General features: G+C 40.9%; 1 long non-coding RNA gene and 1 other non-coding gene across 4 annotated transcripts in view; both read left to right on the top strand.

Annotated features, from left to right (window-relative positions):
* The first annotated feature begins 865 nt into the window (after positions 1-865).
* LOC105378641 (uncharacterized) overlaps positions 866-21079 on the top strand; it is a 227461-nt gene continuing 207247 nt past the window's right edge. For all 3 annotated transcript variants that reach the window (XR_001737964.2, XR_001737966.2, XR_001737965.2), the window contains exon 1: positions 866-1020. This is a non-coding gene — a long non-coding RNA (uncharacterized LOC105378641). The remainder of the gene's footprint in view (positions 1021-21079) is intronic.
* Positions 16491-16586, top strand: MIR552 (microRNA 552). Its single transcript, NR_030278.1, has one exon. It is a non-coding gene; the product is annotated as a microRNA 552 (primary transcript).

Here is a 21079-nt window from a genome sequence, read left to right as displayed (position 1 = left end):
TAGCTTAATGGCATTAGGTACATTTGCAACGTGGTGCACCACCATCACTTTCCATTTCCAGAACTTTTTAATCATCCCGAACACAGATTCTGTCCCATTAAACACTAACTCTTCATTCCCCCTTCCCCTCACCCTCTGTTCCCTGGTTACCTCTATTCTACTTTCTGCTCCTATTAACTGGCCTATTCTAGGTACTTCATATAAGGGGAATCATACAATACTGGAATGGGATCATTAACCCCACATTAATTCCCACTTTTTTCTGTTTGCTTGGTTTTGGTGTCAGGGGTGGGAGGAGATGGAACTTTGGAGACTGCTTTGTAGACAGTGGAGCTCATTCTTTCCAGAACAGAAGATGGGGTGCTAGGGAGTCCTTGGGCCTCTCTGAGAGGCTGGACTTGGCATGTAATCTAATATGACTGATGTTTTTATAAAACAGGGTAAATTTGGACATAGAAAATTAACACCATGTGAAGGTGAAGGCAGAGACTGGGTGATGCTTCTATAAACCAAGAAACTCCAAGGACTGTCAGCAAACCAGCAGAAGCTAGGAGAGAGGCATGGAACGGATTTCTCCTCACAGCCCTCAGAAGAAACCAACCCTGTCACCATTTTGATCTTGGACTTTAGCCTCTGGAACTGTGAGACAATACATTTCTGTTTGTTTCAGCCACCTAGTTCATAGTACTTTGAAGTGACCTTTACACCACTCTCACTTAGAGATGAGGTCTGTGTCCCCTCCTCTTGAAATTGAGTGGCTTTTGTGACTGTGTACACAGGTAGAGTAAACTGCAGAGCTGCCTGTCTGTGACTTCCAAGGCTAGGTCATAAAAGGAGATAAAGCTTCTTCCTGGCTGGTTGGGCTGCTTGCTCTTGAAGCCTTCAGTCTCTATGCACGCAGCATGCCTTCCCAGCCTCCTGTGGTTGTAGAGTGTATAGAAGGCAGTTGGATCACTATGGACAGCGGGTAAGAGCTGAGGAAGCAGCCTCCGCCAGGTGGTAACATGGAGGACCCTGAAGGTAAGAAAGGGCTCTTACTTGTTGGAAGCCCAGTTAAATCCACTTACAAATTAATTAGACACAATGCCATTTCCAGATGAGAGTTCTGGGAAGGCTACTGTGGTTAGGGCTTGTTCTCGTTCCTCCTAGGAAACCATTTAATCCAGACTCTGAAGGATCAGGGGATGGGAGGACCTTCTTGCTGGTAGGCAGAGTGGCTGGCCTGTAAATGGCATTATTGGAGAGGCATCCCCAGCCTGAGCCCCAAACACTTCCTCTGCTCCCCTCTGTCTTTCCCTGTTAGCAGCACTTCCATTGAGCTGTCTTCACTCACCCTCAGAACGGGTTTTTATTGAGTTCCTACACTGTGCCAAGCACTTTACCTACATTATCTCGTTTAAACCTTGCAATGACTCTGCCCAACAGGTTTTATTGTCTTTCTACTCTATCATTCACATCTCAGTAGGATTAATTAACCAAATTAATCCTATAAGCAAATCTCAGTTGCACCGTGAATGTCTCAGGCTAAAGAACAGGTTTTAACTACTGTGGAGGAAGACCGGCCCCTTTAAGGAAGAAGTGACTGCAACCAGGGTTGAAGCAGGTTGTAAAATGTTGAAATCTGCTGAGCTCCGGAATGGAAATTTCTTTCAATGTAGATTAGGCCTTGATTCAGGGTACGGAGAGAGACTGGTACCTGTGGTTCCCTTGGCAACTGCTCTCTGATTGGAAGGAGCCTAAGTGCAGAGAAGGGAGCAGCTGGGGGGCCCGTGTGACTCATCCAAAAGTGGGCAGGAAGCAGTTAAAAAGCAGCCATCCGGTGAAGCTGTAGAGGGACAGGGTTTTTGCTTTCTTTTAATCAACATGCCAAGGTTTTGGGAGGGACTGCTGACACCAGAGATATCAGAGAAGTAGCATAGAATGGCTGGCTTCTGAGAAGCCTCCTGGTTAGGAAGGAAGTTGTTCTCTTTCCACTGCAAGCTTAGAAGCCTTCCAAGTTCTCTCCTTCTGCAGCATAAAGAGACAATAACTCAGAGGAAGGTATCCCCAGGAGTTTCCAGACAGCTGCACAGATTTAAGTGCAGAAATCTGAGCAGAGGTATAGTCCTGGCATTTACATGAACACCTTTCAGTAGCAGGAAGAATAAATGGAAAGAGAGCTACAGAAATACCAGGGGCGAAGTCTTCATCTGAAAGTCCAATCTTTGATCAAGAGCTGGTAGGAAGTCTGAGAATTTGTATCAGCAGTGATTCTAGGCTGTCTGGTCTGAGTAATTGGGATCAGAGCAACAGCTGATATCATGCTTACCTTGTGCCAGGCTCCCTTCTAAGGGCTTCCTGGACACCTGCTCGTGTCAGTCCTCACAGCAATCACATGAGGTATGTTCTGTTGTTGTCTCCTTGTGCGGATGAAGACACTAGGCACAGAGAAAACTGGCCACAGGTGTACAGCTGGGGAGGCCAGAGCCAGAATTCAGACCTGGGGTGTCTTGGCTGATGTGAGCTAGTGTGGGCCAGCATGGGACACAGAGGAGGATTAGCTGGAGAAGCAGGACAGAGGGCAAGAGAGACGAGATCTCCGACAGTGCTGGGTCAGAGACACTTTCCTGAGCCATGATTAAACCTGATTATGGACATGTTTTAGCCTGTCAGACTCCAGCACCCAGAGCGGTCCCCTCCTCAGAGTAGTTCCTGGCCAGTCCTGAAACAAGATGGGTGTTTTTATTGTTACTATTAATTATTTTTAGACACAGGGTCTTTCTCTGTCACCCAGGCTGGAGTGCAGTGGCACCATCACAGGTCACTGCAACCTTGAGCTCCTAGGCTCAAGCAATCCTCCTACTTCAGCTTCCCAAGTAGCTGGGACTACACACGTGTACTACCATGCCTGGCTAATTTTTTAAAATTATTTTTTTTAGAGACAGGATCTCCCTATGTTGCCCAGGCTGGTCTCAAACTCCTGGCCTCAAAAGATCCTTCTGCTTTGGCCTCCCAAAGTGCTGGGACTATAGGCATGAGCCACTGCACCCAGTCTAGATGGATGTTTTCAAAACACAGATCTAGTTATGGTACTCCCCTCTATAAAAAATCCCTTGTTTGTAGGATAAAGTCCAGGCAGGCCCTTTGGCCTGTCATATAAAGCCTTTCTGATCAGACCCACCCTGCTTGGCCCACTCCTTGCTGCATTCCTGTGATTCCAAGCCCTAAGTTTCCCAAGTCTCTCCTTTCCTCTGGCAGAGCTAATCATGGCTCACCCCATATTTTGATGGCTGTTCTTTCCAGGTGATGCCACTGCTGTGATGAGTTTTCTGTAAAGAGAGGCATGCTTCCTCTGCAGTACTCTCAGATAACCACAGATATAAGCAACATAGGAACATAAAGTCAAGGTGCAATAACCATAAACCTTGACAATAATCTTAAAACAAGAAAACAAGTGCTGAGTTCTAGAAAATGAGCCTATGTACATTAATTATACAGCATACCCTCATGTACTATAAAGCGGGCATGAAGGAAAATGGCGCAACTCCACCATAAATTTGATATCAAATGGATGTGCCGGAAGGCAGGGTGCGGCAGAGGCAAGTCAGATCAGCTTCTGCCACTACTGATTGTGTGACTTTGAACAAATAAGCCTGTTTCCTTAATGTTAAAGAAGAAATACCAATAGTGTCCAGGTCATGGTGGCGGCATGATAATTAAATAATATGTGTAAGGCTCCAGGCAGTCCTTTACCTTACTTTTCCTGACCAGTAGGAAATGTTCAATAATAATTAACGGCAATTTTTCTCACTTTGTCACAATGATTCTTATGAATTATCTAGATGAGAAGGTAGAGCTGAGGTCATCTTTCCCAGTGTGACATTCAAACTCTTTCCACAATACTTAGAGACACTCAAACTCTGGCTATGTACTTAGAGACACTTAAGATCTTTCTAGGTACTCAGGCTGAGGATTTTCCAGGCATGGTCCTTGGCCCACACAGGGCCCCCTGATGGGCTATAAACAGATTAAAAAAATCAAAGTTCTTGTTTTGTTTTTCATCTTTTTTTTTTTTTAAACAGACAAATGCTGTGCAATCTGCAAATGTTTGTTTTTATATAGCACAAAGGGTTGCTTACTGAGTATGTTATTAAAGATCACCAAAAATCACTATTAAAAATATATTTATAGTAAAAATCCACCAGATCAATTAGGTGATGAATCATGATAGCCACCTTGGTTCTTTTACTTAAATTTTTTGTAAAAAAAAATCTTTATTGAGATAGAATCCACATACCACAGAATTCATCCACTCATTTGTGATTGTGCAATTCACAAATCATTGTTTTGTTTCTTACCAGTTTTTTGATATCACAGCTCTTCCCAAATCTCCCTCTCCCTTTGAAAAGTGGGACCAGGTAGAGAGGGAAGCCATGGGTCTTTGACGACACCTGAGGGACTGTGGTAAAGCATTTTGAGACCTTATGCCTTGCAGTGGTTTGGAAAAGTAGCCTGCATTCCCCACTTTTACCACTGGGTGTCAGGCTTGAAGGTGGGTAAAGTCTCATGCTTGGGGAACCCAGCAGGGTATACAGGGCCCTGCACTGTTGCTCTGCAGGTAAATGGGATGAATGGAAGAGAAGAAGTAAAATTAGACATCATGGGATGATTAGAACTTTGACATTTCTTATGTTTGGGCTTGGAGAATTGCTTCACATTTCCTTAGGCATGTGGCAAAAAAAAAAAAAAGAATAGTTTTTTCCTCCTCCTTTTGCTCACCCTTTATTACTATGTTTCACCATGTTTTGAGGATTGCTGTGTGTCAGTAACTGTGCTGGAAAGGAGAATACAGAGATGTACAAGACACAGCTGGTCCTTTCCCCTAAGGTGCTCATACTATAGGGAGGAGGGAGATTACAAATAGATCAGCAGGCCACAAATGGCAAATGCGAAGAAAGTGGAGAGCACAGGGTCAGAACCAGGGGAGGGGAAGGGCCGTACTATACACGTGACAACAAAAGCAACACAAACGACACGTCTGACCTGTGTGGGGGTTTACACACTACAAATACTTTCACAGACAGAGTTTATCGATTATTTAAATTATATTTGTTGAGCACTGGGTTAGGTACTGAAGATACAACAGTGAAAAATTACTGTGGATGTTATTGTTTATACTTTGCATGTGCCAGACAGTGTGCCTGGCTTTTTTACATACATTATCACATTCAATCTTCCAAGAACTCATACAAGGAAGGATCTCTTAGACTGATTTTTCAGATGAGGAATGTGAGGTACAAGTTTCTCCCCCAAGAAACCTGTAACTTAGTGAGTTGGATCGTTGTCCCCACCCAAATCTCATGTTGAAATGTAACCCCCAATGCTGGAGGTGGGGCCTGGTGGGAGGTGATTGGATCATGGGGACCGTTTCTAAAGGTTTAGCACCATTCCCCTAATGCTGTTCTCATGACAGGGTTCTCACAAGATCTGGTTGTTTAAAAGTATGTATCACCTCCCCCATCTTTCTATTCCTCCTGCTCTGGTCATGTAAGATGTGCCTGCTTTCCCCTTTACCTTCCACCATGATTGAAAATTTCCTGCGGCCTCCCCATATCACTATCAGCAAACAGCCTGGCTGTGTTGTGCTCCTGCTCTAGGGATCTGTGGAACTTTGAGCTTGAGAGTGATGATTTAGGGTATCTAGTGGAAGAAATTTCTAAGCAGCAAAGTGCTCAAGATGTGGCCTGGCTACTTCTAACAGCCTATGTCCATATTTGTGGGCAAATAAGTGACATGAAACTGGAACTTATATTTAAAAGGGAAGCAGAACATAAAATATTGGAAAGTTTGCAGCTTGGCCATGTGATAGAAAAGAAAAACCCATTTTCTGGGGAGGAATTCAAGCCAGCTGCAGCAATTTGCATAGCTAAAAGGAAGACAAGTGCTGATAGCCAAGACAATGGGAAAAGGCCTTCAAGACATTTCAGAGACATTCACGGCAGCCCTTCTCATCACAGGCCCAGAAGCCTAGGAGGGAAGAATGGTTTTGTGGGCCATGCCCAGGGCCCCTCCACCCTGTGCAGCCCTAGGACACTGTCTTCTGCATCCCAGCTGTTCCAGCTCCAGCCTTGGATCAAAGGGGCCCAGGTACAGCTCGGGCTACTGCTTCAGAGGGTGCAAACCATAAGCCTTCATGGCTTTCAAGTGGTGTTAGCTTGCAGGTTCACAAAGTGCAGAGTTGAAGCTTGGGAGCCTCTGCCTAGATTTCAGAGGATGCATGGAAAAGCCTGGATGTCCAGGCAGAAGCCTACTGCAGGGGCAGAGCCCTCTTGGAGAACCTCTACTAGGGCAGTGTAGAGGGGAAATGTGGGGTTGGAGCTCCCCCCAACAGAGTTCTCACTGGGGCACTGCCCAGTGGAGCTGTGAGAGAAAGGCCACTGTCCTCCAGATCCCAGAATGGTAGATTCACTCACAGTTTGCACTGTGCTTCTGGAAAAGCCATAGACACTCAACACCAGCCCTTGAGAGAAGCCACAGGTATAGAGCTGCCCAATGCCTTGGGAGCCCACTCCTTACATCAGCATGTCCTGGATGTGTGACATGGAGTCAAAAGAGATCATTTTGGAGCTTTAAGATTTAATGATTGCCCTGCTGGGTTTAAGACTTGCATGGGGCCTGTAGACCCTTTCTTTTGGCCACTTTCTCCTGTTTCAAATGGACGTACTTACCCACTGCTTATTCTCCCATTGTATCTTGGAAGTAACTAAGTTGTCTTTTATTTTACAGGCTCATAGACAGACAGGACTAATCTTGTCTCAGATGAGACTTTGGACTATGGGCTTTTGAGTTAATGCTGGAATGAGTTAAGACTTGGGGGCTGTTGGAAAGGCATGACTGGATTTTGAAATGTGAGAAGGACATGAGATTTGGAAGGGGCCGGGGTGGAATGATGTGGTTTGGATCTGTGTCCTCACTCAAATCTCATGTTGAAATGATGTAATCCCCAGTGCTGGAGGTGGAGCCTAGTGGGAGGTAATTGGATCATGGGAGGCAGTTTCTAATGGCATAGCAACATCCCCATAGTGCTGTTCTTGTGATGAAGTCCTCACAAGATCTGGTTGTTTAAAATATTGTGCCCCTGCTCCAGGGATCTGTGGAATGTTGAGCTTGAGAGTGATGATTTAGGGGATCTGGTGGAAAAAATTTCTAAGCAGCAAAGTGCTCAAGATGTGACTTGGCTGCTTATAACAGCTTATGTCCATATGTGTGAGCAAAATGGATTGAGCAAATAAAAGACATGAAACTGGAACTTATATTTAAAAGGGAAGCAGAGCATAAAAGATTGGAAAATTTGCGGCTTGGCCATGTGGTATAAAAGAAAAACCCATTTTCTGGGGAGGAATTCAAGCCAGAGGTAGAAATTTGCATAACTAAAAGGAAGACACATGCTATGACAAAGACAAATTTTTGTGACCTTGAATTAGACAAAGATATCTAGATAGGTTGCCCAAAGCATAACCTGTAAAGGAGAAAATTGCTCAATTGGAACTCATCAACATTAAAAACTTCTGCTCTTCAAAAGATACTGCTAAGTGAATCAAAAGACAGACAAAAACTAGGAGAAAATATTTGCACCGCATATATCTGATAAAAGACGTGTATCCAGAATATATAAAGAACTTTCAAAACTTGATAACAAGAACACAACCCAATAGAAAATAGGCAACAGATATAAGCAGACACTTCACCAAAAAAGATATGTCATGGAAGATAAGCATATGAAAGGTGTACAAAATCATTAATTATTGGGAAAATACACATTAAAACCTAATGAGATTTTCCACACACCCATTGGGATGGCTAAAATTAAAAAGACTAACCATACCAAGTGTTGGCCAGGACGTGAAGGAACTGGAACTCTCATACACTTCTAAATGGCAATGTAAAATGGAAACCACTTTGGAAAATAGTTGGGCAGTTTCTTAAAAACTTAAGCATGTACCTTCTATATAAGCTTGCATTTTACTCCGATTTGCACAAAAGAAAGTTTATGTTCATACAGAGAGTTTTACATAAACATTTATATCAGCTTATAGCACTTATTTTCAAATAGTAGTCCTAAACTACAAAAAACCTGAGTGTCCATTAACTAGTGAATGGAAAAGTAAATTGAAGTAAGCCCATAGATAGAATAATTCTAAGAAATAAAAAGGAACGAACTACTCATACACACAACTACATGAAGGAACTTCAAAAATGATTTTGCTAAATGAAAGAAGCCAAGCAAAAAGAATTATACCATGATTTCATTTTTATAAATTTCTAGAAAATGCAAGCTTAGAAAATTTCTAGAAAATGAAAGCTCAATGGTTGCTTGGAATTGGGGAAGGGGAGAAGAGAAGGAGAGATTCCAAAGAAATTTTAGGTTAATAGTTATGTTCACTATAACTATTGGTTTTGATTTTGATAATAGTTTCATGAGTGGGTAAAACTTACCAAATTGTTCATTTTCTATCTGAAGTTTATTGTATTCAGTTAGACCTCAGTAAAATTGCTAAAACACTCAGTAGCAAGAAAACAAATAATCAAATTAAAAACCCAAAGATTTGAACAGACATCTCACTAAAGAAACAATATCAATGGCATATCAACACAGGGAAAGATGCTCAAGATTATTAGCTATTGGAGAAATGAAAATTAAAACCAAAATGACTACATATCTATCAAATGGACAAAATTATATTAAAAAACCCAAACCTAATAATATCAAATGCTGATGAGTATGTGGAGCAACTGGAATTCTCATACATTGCTGCTGGGAATGAAAATGGTACAGCCACTCTGGAAAACAGTTTGACAATTTCTTATAAACATATACTTATGATATGATCCAGTTATCCTATTCCTGAGTACTTGAGGAAATGAAAACAGTGTTTACATAAAAAGATCTGTTCACAAATAGCAGTTCGATACACCAAAAGAATGGAAACAAGCCCAAAGTCCTTTAATGTGTAAGTGGATAATCAGACCATAGTACATCCGTACAATAGAATACTACACAGCAATAAAAAATGAATGAGCTATTGATTTATGCAATAGTGTGAATGCATCTCAAGGGCTTTATGCTGAGTTAAAGAAGACATTTCCAGAGTTATGTATATTCTGAAAGACTTTCAAGACCAGCCTGGGTAACACAGTAAGACTCTGATTCCACAAAAAATAAAAAAAATTAGCCAGGTGTGGTAGGGTGCACCTGTAGTCCCAGCTACTCTGGAGGTTGAGGCGGGAGGATCAGTTGAGTTAGGGGTCTGAGACTGTAGTGAGCTGTGATTGCACCACTGTATTCCAGACTGGGCAACAGAGTGAGACCCTGTCTCAAAACAAACATATTCTATTATTACATTGACATGAAATTCTAGAAAGCTATAGGTATGGAGAGTGGATCAGTGGTAGGGGAAGAGTTTGACACAAAGGGGCAGCATGAGAGCATTTTCTGGGGTGATGAACCCGTGTTATATCTTGAGTGTGGTGAATGCATATTGAAGCTCATACAAGAGTCCACCAAAAAGAAAGCAAATTTTACTGTATTTAAAAAAAAAAGTTATGGTAAGAAGCTAAAGCAGTACTCAACAGGAAATTTTTAGCATTGAGTGGTCTCATTAGAAAAGAATAAAAGCTGAAGATTAATAAGCTAGACCAGGGCTTCTCAACTTCAGCACTCTTGACATTTGGGCTGGATAATTCTTTGTTTCTGGGGCTGTGTTGCTCACTGTAGGATGTTTAGCAGCATCCTTGGTGACTACTCACTAGATACCAATATCATTCTTCCCCCAGTTGTGACAACCAAATAATATCTTCAGACATTGCTCAATGTCCCATAGGGGCCAAAATTGTCCCTGATTGAGAACCACTGAACTAAATATTCAACTGAAGAATTTAAAAAGGAATAACATAAGAATAATCCAAAAAAGCAGAACATAGGAAACATTTTTTTTTAAAAAGAAACACTTATGAGATAAAAATCAAATGCACAATGAAGAGGCTTAATGCAGCCAAAAGTTCTTTCTCTGAGAAACTAATAAAGTTGAAAAATTTCTGACAAGATTGAGCAAGGAAAAAGAAAGAAGACAGACAAAGCAATGTAAGGAATAAAAAAAGCAAACATATTTACTGATGCTGCAGATATTTAAAAGATAATTAACAACTTTAAGCTAATATTTTGGAAAACTTAGATGAAATGGAAAAATTTCTAAAGAAATATAAGCTACAGAAATGGTTTCAAGAAGAAATATGAAACAAACAGCACTATAATTATTAAATAAATGGAACGATTAGTTTACAAATGTACCCTAAAGAAAAATCAGATCCTCCCAAATGATTTTACTTGTGAGTTTTACCAAACATTCAGGAGATAGATATTTTCAATCTTACACAAGCTAGTCTATAATATAGATAAAGAGGAAATACAAATATGCCCCAACCCATTTTATAAAGCCAGTATAATTTTAACACTAAATCTTGACAATGATAGTGTGAGAAGAAAATTGCAGGCAAATTTTACTTAAGAACATTGACACATAATTCTAAACCGAATGTTGGTAAACAAAATCCTACAATGTAGAAAAATGATAATATGCCCTAAGCTAGTTTACCTAAGGCATGTAAGATTGGGGAAGCATTAAAGCATAAAAAATCAATGTGATTCCTTACATTAACAAGATAAAGAAGAAAAGCAATGTGAGCATTGTATTAGTCTGTTTTCACACTGCTATAAAGAATTACTTGAAACTGGATAATTTATGAAAAAAAAGAGGTTTAATTGACTCACAGTCCTGCAGGGTTAACAGAAAGCATGACTGAGAGGCCTCAGGAAACTTACAATCATGGTAGAAGGCAAAGGGGAAGCAAGCAACCTTGTTCACATGGTGGCAGAAGAGAGAGCGAGCGAAGGGGGAAGTGCCACACAATTTTAGTGAGAACTCATTCACTATCGCAAGAACAGCAAGAAGGAAATTTGCACCTATGATCCAATCATCTTCCACCAGGCCTCTCCTCTGATTTGACACGAGATTTGAGTGGGGACATAAATCTAAACCATATCAATCATTTTAATAGATACAAAAATATAATAAAATTTAATATTCACTTATGATCTTTTAAAGAAGTCTTTGTAATCCAGGGATAGAAGAAAATGTTCTCACCTGATAAAGGACACTTACAAAAAACCTATACCAAATATCTTTTTTTTTTTTTTTTTTGAGACGGAGTCTCGCTTTGTCACCCAGGCTGGAGTGCAGTGGCGCGATCTCAGCTCACTGCAAGCTCCGCCTCCCAGGTTCACGCCATTCTCCTGCCTCAGCCTCCTGAGTAGCTGGGACTACGGGCGCCCGCCACTACACCTGGCTAATTTTCTGTAATTTTTAGAAGAGACGGGGTTTCACTGTGTTAGCCAGGATGGTCTCGATCTCCTGACCTCGTGATCTGCCCGCCTCGGCCTCCCAGAGTGCTGGGATTACAGGTGTGAGCCACCGCGCCCAACCCCAAATATCTTATTTAAAGGCGAAGCACTGAAATCATTCCCTTTAAGATAAGAAACAATACAAAGCCGTCTGCTATCACCACATCTCTTCAGCAATATGCTAAAGGCCCTAGCCAATGAAACAAGGCAAATAACACACACACACAAACACACAGAGGAAATACAGATCACGAAGAAAAATCATATTGTTATCACTTTAAAATGTTAGCTTATAAACATAGAAACCCTCCATGAATATGCAGATACATTATTAAATTAATAAAAGGTCTCTGGATATAAAACCAGTGCAAAAAGTTAACTGCATTTTCTACATCAGCAATAAGCAGTCCAAATTTTACTTCAAAATAGATACCATTTACAGTACCTCCAATGAAATGAAATATCTAGGAGTAAATCTAAAAAAATATGTACAGGAACTTTATGGAGAAAATATAAAAACTATTGAAAACATTAGAAAGTGATAAAATAATAGTGGGCTAGTTTCATGGATTGAAAGGCAATAATGTAAAAATTTCTGTTTTCCCAAATTGACTCAAACATAGATTTGATGCAATTTCAGTTAAAATTCAATAGGTTTCTTTTTCAGAGATTCTGAAAAACTGATTCTAAAATATATATGAAGAAATAAGAGGCAAAGAATAGATACCATTTACAGTATCTCCAATAAAATATCTAGGAGTAAATCTAAAAAATATGTATGAAAACTTTATGGAGAACATATAAAAAATATTGAAAACATTAAAAAATGATAAAGTAATAGTAGGCTGGCTGGGTGCAGTGGCTCATCCTGTAATCCCAGCACTTTGGGAGGCCAAGGCGGGTGGATCACCTGAGTTCAGGAGTTCAAGACCAGCCTGGCCAACATGCTGAAACCCCATCTCTACTAAAAATACAAAAATTAGCTGGGCATAGTGGCAGGTGCCTGTAATGCCAGTTACTCTGGAGGCTGAGGCAGGAGAATTGCTTGAACCCAGGAGGCAAAAGTTGCAGTGAGCCAAAATTGTGCCATTGCACTCCAGCCTGGGCAACAAGAGCAAGACTCTGCCAAAAATAAATAAATAAATAAATAAATAAATAAATAAATAAATAAGAAAAAGGCTGAGTTCATAGATTGAAAGACAATAATGTAAAAATTTCTTTTTTTCCAAATTGATTCAAACATAGATTCAATGCAATTTCAGTTAGAATTCAATAGGTTTCTTTATCAAAGATTCTGAAAAACTGATTCTAAAATATGTATGAAAGAATAAGGGGTAAAGAATAGTCAAAATCTGCTAAAGAAGAAGAGGGTGGAGAACTAGTTTATCAAAAAGCATTACAACACTATAGAAATTAAAACAGAGTGGCACTGTCTTAGGAATAGACAGACCAATGGAAGAAAATAGAAATCTCAGAACAGCTCCTAATACCTAATACAAAGGGAAACTTGATTTATGACAGAGCTGGTACTACAGTTCAGTAAGGAAAGACTCAATTTACAAAACTGTATTGGGTAAATTGATAATTTGCCATAAAAATGTTGGGATAATGCCTCAAACCATATATAAAAATAAATTGTAGATTGCTAAAACTTTAAATGTAAATGTCAATATTCTAAAGCTTGGTGATGATGATTATGATGATAGCACATAATACTATGTTCCAGACTATTTTCAACAGAGGTTATTTAGTCCAACAGAGCATGTATATGATGTAGGTACTAATATCGTTTCCACTTTGCATTTGAGTAAATTGAGCCACAAAGAGGTTAAATAAGTTGATCAAGTTTTCATCACTAGGATTTGAACCTAGGCAGTTTGGCTTGGGAGTTTATGTTCTTAAATACTGTAAATAGAGAGGCAGGGTGCATTTATGACCTCAGGATAGGTAAGGATTTCTTAAAATCCAAAAGTAGGAGCCACACAAACAGGTATGAAAAATGTGACTATGTTACAAACTTTTGTTTGTCAAAAGACACTCTAACAGAAATAAAAAGAAAAAGCACACGCTATAAGAAAAGATTTGTAACACAAATAAGTGGGAAAGATTAGCATTGAGAATATGTTAAAAACAAAAAACAAAAAACCTCCTGCAAGCCAATGAGAAAATGACAACCTGATATATGGTTTGGCTGTGTCCCCACCCAAATCTCATATTGAATGTAAGCTGAATTGTAATCCCTATGTGTTGAGGTGTTAAGGGATCTTTGGGGTATCAATTGGCCAGAAACCTCTGTGGCTGGTGGCACCTTTGCTGAGGTCTTGTCCTGTGTCCAGGAAGAATGAGGTACACAGACAAGTGTAGGGTAAACACGATGAAGAGGAGGTTTATTGAGTGTTAGAATGCTCAGAAGAGACCTGTGGTGGATAGCTCCTCTCTGCAGGCAGGTCATCTCGTTGAGTGTTCAGCTTTCAGCAGAGAGGAGGCCCTGGGGTCTGTGGCTCCTCTCTGCTGGCAGGTTGTCCCATTAAGGGTTCAGCTCTCAAGAGAGAGGAGGCTCTAGAGAGGGTAACTCCTCTCTGCAGCTGGTCATCCTTGTCCTGTCAGGGGTTCAGCTCTCAACAGAGAGGAGGCCCTGGAGATGGTAGTTCCTCTCTGCAGGTGGTCATCCCAATGTCTGCTGCTTTCAACAGAGAGGAGGCCCTGGAGAGGGTAGCTCCTCTCTGCAGCCAGTCATCCTGATGTCTGCTGCTTTCAACAGAGAGGAGGCTCTGGAGAAAGTTGCTCCTCTCTACAGGCAAGTCTTCCTCTCTTCTTCCCAGCTCTCAGCAGAGAGGATAGCTCCTCTCTGAAGTTGGTCATCCCATCATCTCTCCATCCTCTACCCTGCTTTAGCTGAGCCTGGGGCTTTTACGGATGTCAGAGGGGAGGAAGTGTGTGTCAGTTGGTCCATGGGTGGCCATGGGCAGGCCTGAAAGGCACTGCAAGTCCCCACTTTGATCTGCGGGACTTACTGCTCAGCCCCCAGCCTTCAGGCCATCCCTGGCCTAAAGGTAGGGCCTTACTAGGGATCCACTCCCTTCAATCCAGGAGCCTGTCTGCCTCCTGCTGCCATCCATGGTGCCTATGGTGCCCAGGCTGCTTGCACCAAAAGGCACCTGCAGGCCAGTGCCAAGCCACCCTCAGCCCTCCCCCTCAGTTTCTCCTCTCATGCTCATTTTGCCCAAATTCTGGAGGAGGCCGAGGTAGCAGGGTACTGGCATGTCAGCACTGCCCCAAGCATGTGCACACCTGGCCAGGCTGTGCCAGTGCCCAGGATAGGCCCCAACCTGGCTCCAAGATTGGAGTAGGGTGCCAGGAGTGGAGAGGCCAGGCAGCAGGAGCAGACACTCTAGAGCCTGTGGGGCCAGGGGGTTGGGGGGGACTTCTGAGGCCCCCAAGAGTGAAGACTGCAGAGACTCTCGGGTCCTGCGCTTGGGAGGGTGGCCACAGCTGCACCTAGGGAACTCCCGCCTTGCCAACTCAAAAGGGGTGGGGCTCCCACTTGTCACCAGCTCCTGCCTGCCTCACGGAGTGTGCAGCCCTGGGGTGGTGCCTCCCTGCTGCAGCCTGCATGATGGCAGCGGCCACTGCCAACAGAGGGAGGAACCTGGTGGGAGGTGATTGGATCAAGGGGGCCAGTTTCCCCCGTGCTGTTCTCGTGGTAGTGAGTGAATTCTCATGAGATCTGGTTGTTTGATAAGTGGCTCTTTCTCCTTCTTTCTCTCTCCCTCTCCTACTGCCTTTTGAAGATGTGCCTTGTTTCCCTTTTGCCTTCTGCCATGATTATAAGTTTCCTGAGGCTTTCCCTGTGAGTCCATTAAACCCCTTTCTTTATAAATTACTCAGTCTCAGGTAGTATCTTTATAGCAGTGTGAAAACAGACTAATACACAACTCAATACGAAAATGGGCAAAGTAACTTAAATAGACACTTAATGAAACAGGAAATCTGAATGTCTAGACTGAATATTCAGTTTCACCAGGGAAGTAAAGGAACTATTTGTATTTATTTGTATGATTATTTGTAACTTGGGAAATACAAATGAAATAGATATCATTATATGCCCATTACATTGTTAAAATTGAAAAAAAGTCTGATAAGATCAAGTGCTAGCAAAGGCATGGAGTAATAGGAACTTTTACACTGCTGGTGGCAGTTCTAAGTGATGAAATTTCTTTGGCATAAATTCAGCATTATCTAATAACATTAATAATGCACATACCCTGTGATCCAGAAATGTTACTAGGTCTATACCTTAGAGAACTTATATAGGTGCAGCAGTGGACACATCAAGAAAGCCCATGGTAACATGGCTTGTGAAAGCAGAACAATAAGCAATGTCCATCAATAGTATAATGATACAGCAAAATACAAAACAATAGTAGAATGATACAGCAACAAAACCAAAAAAATCCATCTGCATAGATAAAACTGAGGACAATAATCTTGGGTAAAAAAGCAAGCTATAGACAAGTTGCTGAGTAGGAGAAGATATTTTCAAATCACACACCTGAAAAGGACTAGAATCTTGATTATATAAGAGCTCTCAAAACTCAATGGTAAAAAGAAAACAAGTAATCTACTAGAACATGGGCAAAACACATGAATAGATATTCCATAGTGTAAGTTATTCAAATGGCAAAAAAAATCCATGAAATATGTTCAACATAAGGGTAATGCAAATTAAAACCATGATAACATATCACTATGCATCTATCAGAATTGCTAAAATAAAAAAAAAATGAGAACACCCAACATTGGCAAGGATGTAGAGAAATAGGCTTGTTCATATATTGTTGATGGGATGTAAAATTGTAGATCTAGCCTAGAAAACAGAGGGCAGCTAATTATAAAACCCAGCATGCCTATGACCCAGCAGTAGCGCCCTCAGGTGTTTATCCCAGGGAAATAAAAACTTATGTCCACACAAAAACCTGGGGAGCTTTATTTGCAATAGCCAAGTGTTCACAGCAGCTTTATTTGTAATAGTCGAATATACTACAGTTTGTTTAACCATTCAAATATACCACAGTTTGTTTAACCTTTTGCCTGTTGGTTGAAGATGCCTTTCAACAGGTGACTGGTTAGACAAACTGTGGTATATACACAGGATGGAATACTACTCAGCAATAAACAAGCAACAAGCTATTGATTACAAACAACTTGGATGAATCTTTGGGGAATTATTATGAGTGAAAAAAGTCAATGCCAAAGGCTACATATGTATGATTACATTTATATAACATTTTGAAATGACAAATGTTACAGATAGAGAAGGGATTAGTGGTTGTTGAGGGTTAAGAATGTGGTGAGGTGGAGGGAGGTGGTTATAAAGGCACAACATGAAGGATCCTCATGGTGATGGACTGGCTGATGTCTTGACTTTAGTGATGGACACACACACACACACACAGACCACAAATGATACAAGTAAATTGGAGAAATCTGGGTAAGACTGGTGAGCTGTATCATGTCAATATCCTGGTTATGATATTGTACTAGTGTTTTAAAAATGTTATTGTATTAGTCTCTTCTCATGCTGCTGATAAAGACATACCTGAGACTGGGTAGTTTATAAAGGAAAAGAGGTTTAATGGGTTTACAGTTTCACATGGCTGAGGAGGCCTCACAATCATGGCAGAAGGTGAAAGGCACGTCTTACATGGTGGCAGATATGAGAGAAATGAGAACCAAGTGAAAGGGGTTTCCCCTTATAAAACCATCAGACCTTGTGAGACTTATTCACTACCATGAGAACAGTATGGGGGAAACCACCCCCGTGATTCAATAATCTCCCCCTGGGTCCCTCCCACAACACGTGGGAATTATGGGAGCTACAACTCAAGATGAGATTTGGGTGGGGACACAGCCAGACCATATCAGTTACCACTGGGGGAAACTGGATAAATGGTACACAGAATTGCATATGAATTTATAATTATCTCAATAACAAATTCTAATTAAAAATTATTAACTCTTTCACTCAAAAATTTCAGAAACAAATTTATCATAGCTTTGACTTGGCTACAAAAACCCCAAGCCATACAAACCTACATAACTGCAAGATTCTAGTCTTAGAGATCAAAAACGTATTAAACAATATATTGTTCAGGATATAAGGTGATAAAGAAAAAAAACATTGGAGAATGAATTCAGATTAGCATTTCTCTGGGTTACGAAGAGAGGCAATCAGATCAAAGAGGTCATGCTTGATGGTCACGCTTTCATTTCTAAACTGGATGGTGGGATACACGAATGTTCCCTTTATTGTTATTCTTTGTACAGCAGACATGTTTTATAAATATCTTTTGTACCCACTCAGTATTTAATGAAACCTTGTAGAAAGTCTTTGGTGTGTGTTGGTGTATATGTTGTGTGTGTATTTGTATTTGGCAATGTATGTTTCCACCTCCTGAGCCTGGCAAGCTCTTTCCTGCCACAGGACCTTTGCACTTGCTATAACCTCTTCTGAGAACTCTCCTTCTTTGGTTCTTCAAAGATTGTGGTCCCACCTCAGCTCAGGCAAGTGAAGTGAAGAGACTTTCAGATCAATGCGTATGCATCCTGAATGGTCTTGTTTGTTGATTCATGTATCTGCCTCTTCTGACTAGAATGTAAGTTCCCTGACGTCAGAGAGCTCCTCTAACTTATTCAACCATTACCTAGACGTGGGTTGACAGACTGAACGAATGCATATTTATGCATATGAATTTAGGGTCTAAAAAAAGCATGCCAATTGAAAGTGTTGGCTTCCTAAGAATTTCTTTGGGCTACTGACTATTTTACTCTTTAATAGTATCATGGTAAACTGGGGGTTAAATTGCTTTTGCAATTATTGAAGGTCTGAGTGAAGGGAGTTACGTAGAATAACAAGGGGCATGTCTTTGAAGGACACAGGTAACAGCAAAGAACAAGTTTAAAAGAGTTAAACACATTCTAGCTAAAGAGGGAATAAGTTTAAATTGGGTTATTTTCCCTGGAGATTATTGCAATTTTAAGAGTAATGCTGCTTCCAAGAATGTTAGCTTTTCTCTTGGTGACCATGGATATAACAGTGTGTGGGTCCGTCATTAATCAGGATAAGGCATTACAGATCTGGGTCCTATTACCCTAAGTTTGTTTGTAAAATGGATTTCTTTGCAGGCAGCACTGACGTGTGACCATGTGATGTTTGGATTGTGCTTCAGAGCAGGGGATGGCTTGGCAAAGGCCTTTGCGGTTTATAACCTATTTTATTTTCTACAATTGAATTTTGAATTTTGAAGTCCAATCAATTTGAGTTCTTTACAAGTATAATTTGGTTACCCATGGGATGGTTTGAATTTAAGTTTCATGGAAGTAAGTTTGCATGCATTTTGGTCTTTTTAAATTAATTCTCATTGGAAACGTTTCATTATTCTGAAATGTTTGGTGATAGTAATTGTGAGGCTAGAACTGCTTGTTCATAAATAGGGTTATTATTGGATCTCCTCATGCCTTGATTGATTTATGATGAAGAAGACACACCTGTAGCATAATGCTCTTTTTTTGGTGGTGATTTCAAGTACAATCACTATGAAATGTAAAACCAGGATACAGAAGTAGAGAATTTAGTTCATGCCTTTCTGTGTAATTGATTTGAATACATTGAGTCAGGCTACATGCTTATGGGGAATTAGAGGTTCAGCAATTTACAAATGTTGCCATTATAATCGGATCGGAAAAAGAAGTGATGGGACCTGCTGAGTGGTGTGAGACAATGGGAAATGTATCTTTTGACAGGAACCCCAATGCCTAGGATTTTCTGTAGCATGAAATGGAGTGAGTGTGCTGGGCGAGGTGGAAAGCCACCATTTCTGCAATCAAAATTATAAAAAGAATTATAATAACTGCCAGTTATTAAGCATTAACTGTGCACCAAGCACTTTGTTAAGACTTTGTCTCTGCATTATTGCATTTAATCTCATAAAAAGCCTATGCAGTAGGTTGTGCTAGGTTGTTGATTGTTCATCTGGCATCACCACCACCTGTCATCAGGTGTCCCTTGCTTTGTGGAAGAGGAGATGAGACCTACATTTCCCAGAATGCCTTTTGCCATATGGCTCCTGGTTTGAGTCTGCCAAAAGAGGTGCTTAGGGAAGGTTTGGAAAGTAGGAAAGGTGGCGAGGCTGTGATTCTCCAGAATTAGTTGCAGGTAGGTAGATAAATAGGCAGACATGAGGTTTGAAGCACCTTCCACTTGAGTTTTACCTGCTTCATTGCTGCAGCCTGAGAAGGCCAGCAGAGCTTCCCAGGGGTTTTGGGTAAGACCTTGGATGCCTGCTGTACTGGTGTCCTTGGGTGCTCAGTGGTGGCTTCCCCAGCTATTCTTTCCCAGGTCTTCTAACAGCTGTAGAAGCTTCTAATTCCCTTCATTAAAGCCCTTCCTACTTGGACTATGTGGAATTGGCTTCAGTGTTTCTGACTGGACTCTGACTGATACATAGGGTATTATTCTTCTTTCCAGTTTTTAGACGAGTGAACTGAGGTTTAGAGAGGTGAATTGACCACTCACAAAAAATGGCAGAGTGGGATTTACACCCAGACCGTAATCACAAGCCTTCACCATCTCTGAAAAAGCACCTGGAGATCCAGGTGCATGAACACTGCTCACAGCCTCATACATATAATGTTTGCTCGATCCCAGAACTATAGCCCCACATTAATTGTGACCGTGGGCACCCCTCTCAGAGACAGGGTTTTCCATCTGTTGGTCCACTTAGACTGCATGGTCACTGGTCAACTATGGTTGCTCTTCCTTGTTGGAAACCCAGACAGCCTCTGGAAATTAGTTAACTTGTGGATGAAAACAAGAAATATATATTCATATCTTGCCTTGCTCATACCAATTGCTATCGTAGGTGACAGATTCTTGCATCAGTAATTTTAGAGACAGCTGAAATTGTTCATGATAGATGTCCACTTGAAGGTTACATAACGGGATATTAACACTGCTTACATCAGAGGAGAGGTCATGGGTGGGGACTGGCGCTACAATTTACCATCTTTTTATTGTATGTTTCAGTTGTTATAATCAAACATGTGTTACTTTTGTAATTTGAAAAACATGCTATAAACAAACTGAATATAAAATCAAAAGACATGCTCACTTAGATACTAGGGCATGTGGCATGATGTATGTGATGGTGACACCAAGTTGACAACGGACATCTATAATGTCACATAATGCACTTTAAGTGATGGCACAGGACTTGTATATGGTAGCAAGCAGAGCAGCAGTGGTTCTCAAATCTTTGTCTAGTTGGAAGAACCACTTTTAAATAACATTTCACATGGAACCACAATATATAAAACTGATAAGAGGGGAGCTACTCTGAATAAAACGACAGTAATCCCTGGAGCCTCAGAGCCCCAAAGACTAGTATTTTTGTTTCAACCCCATGTTCTTCCATTAGCCTTAGAAATGCCACTGTAGAACCTTGCTGCCATGAAGAAAACATAACGACAACATAAATGCCAACAAGAAATCTGCTCTCATGCTGATTGATTACTTGTGTTCTCTCATTATTGTTCCTTCTCTTTGTAGGGTAGGCCATGGGAATGAGCTCTCGATGCTTCTCT

Source organism: Homo sapiens, chromosome 1 (genome assembly GCF_000001405.40).
Source record: "Homo sapiens chromosome 1, GRCh38.p14 Primary Assembly".
NCBI lineage: Eukaryota > Metazoa > Chordata > Mammalia > Primates > Hominidae > Homo > Homo sapiens.
The sequence above is the reverse complement of the archived record's forward strand: the minus strand, read 5'-3'. Positions and strand labels throughout refer to the sequence as shown.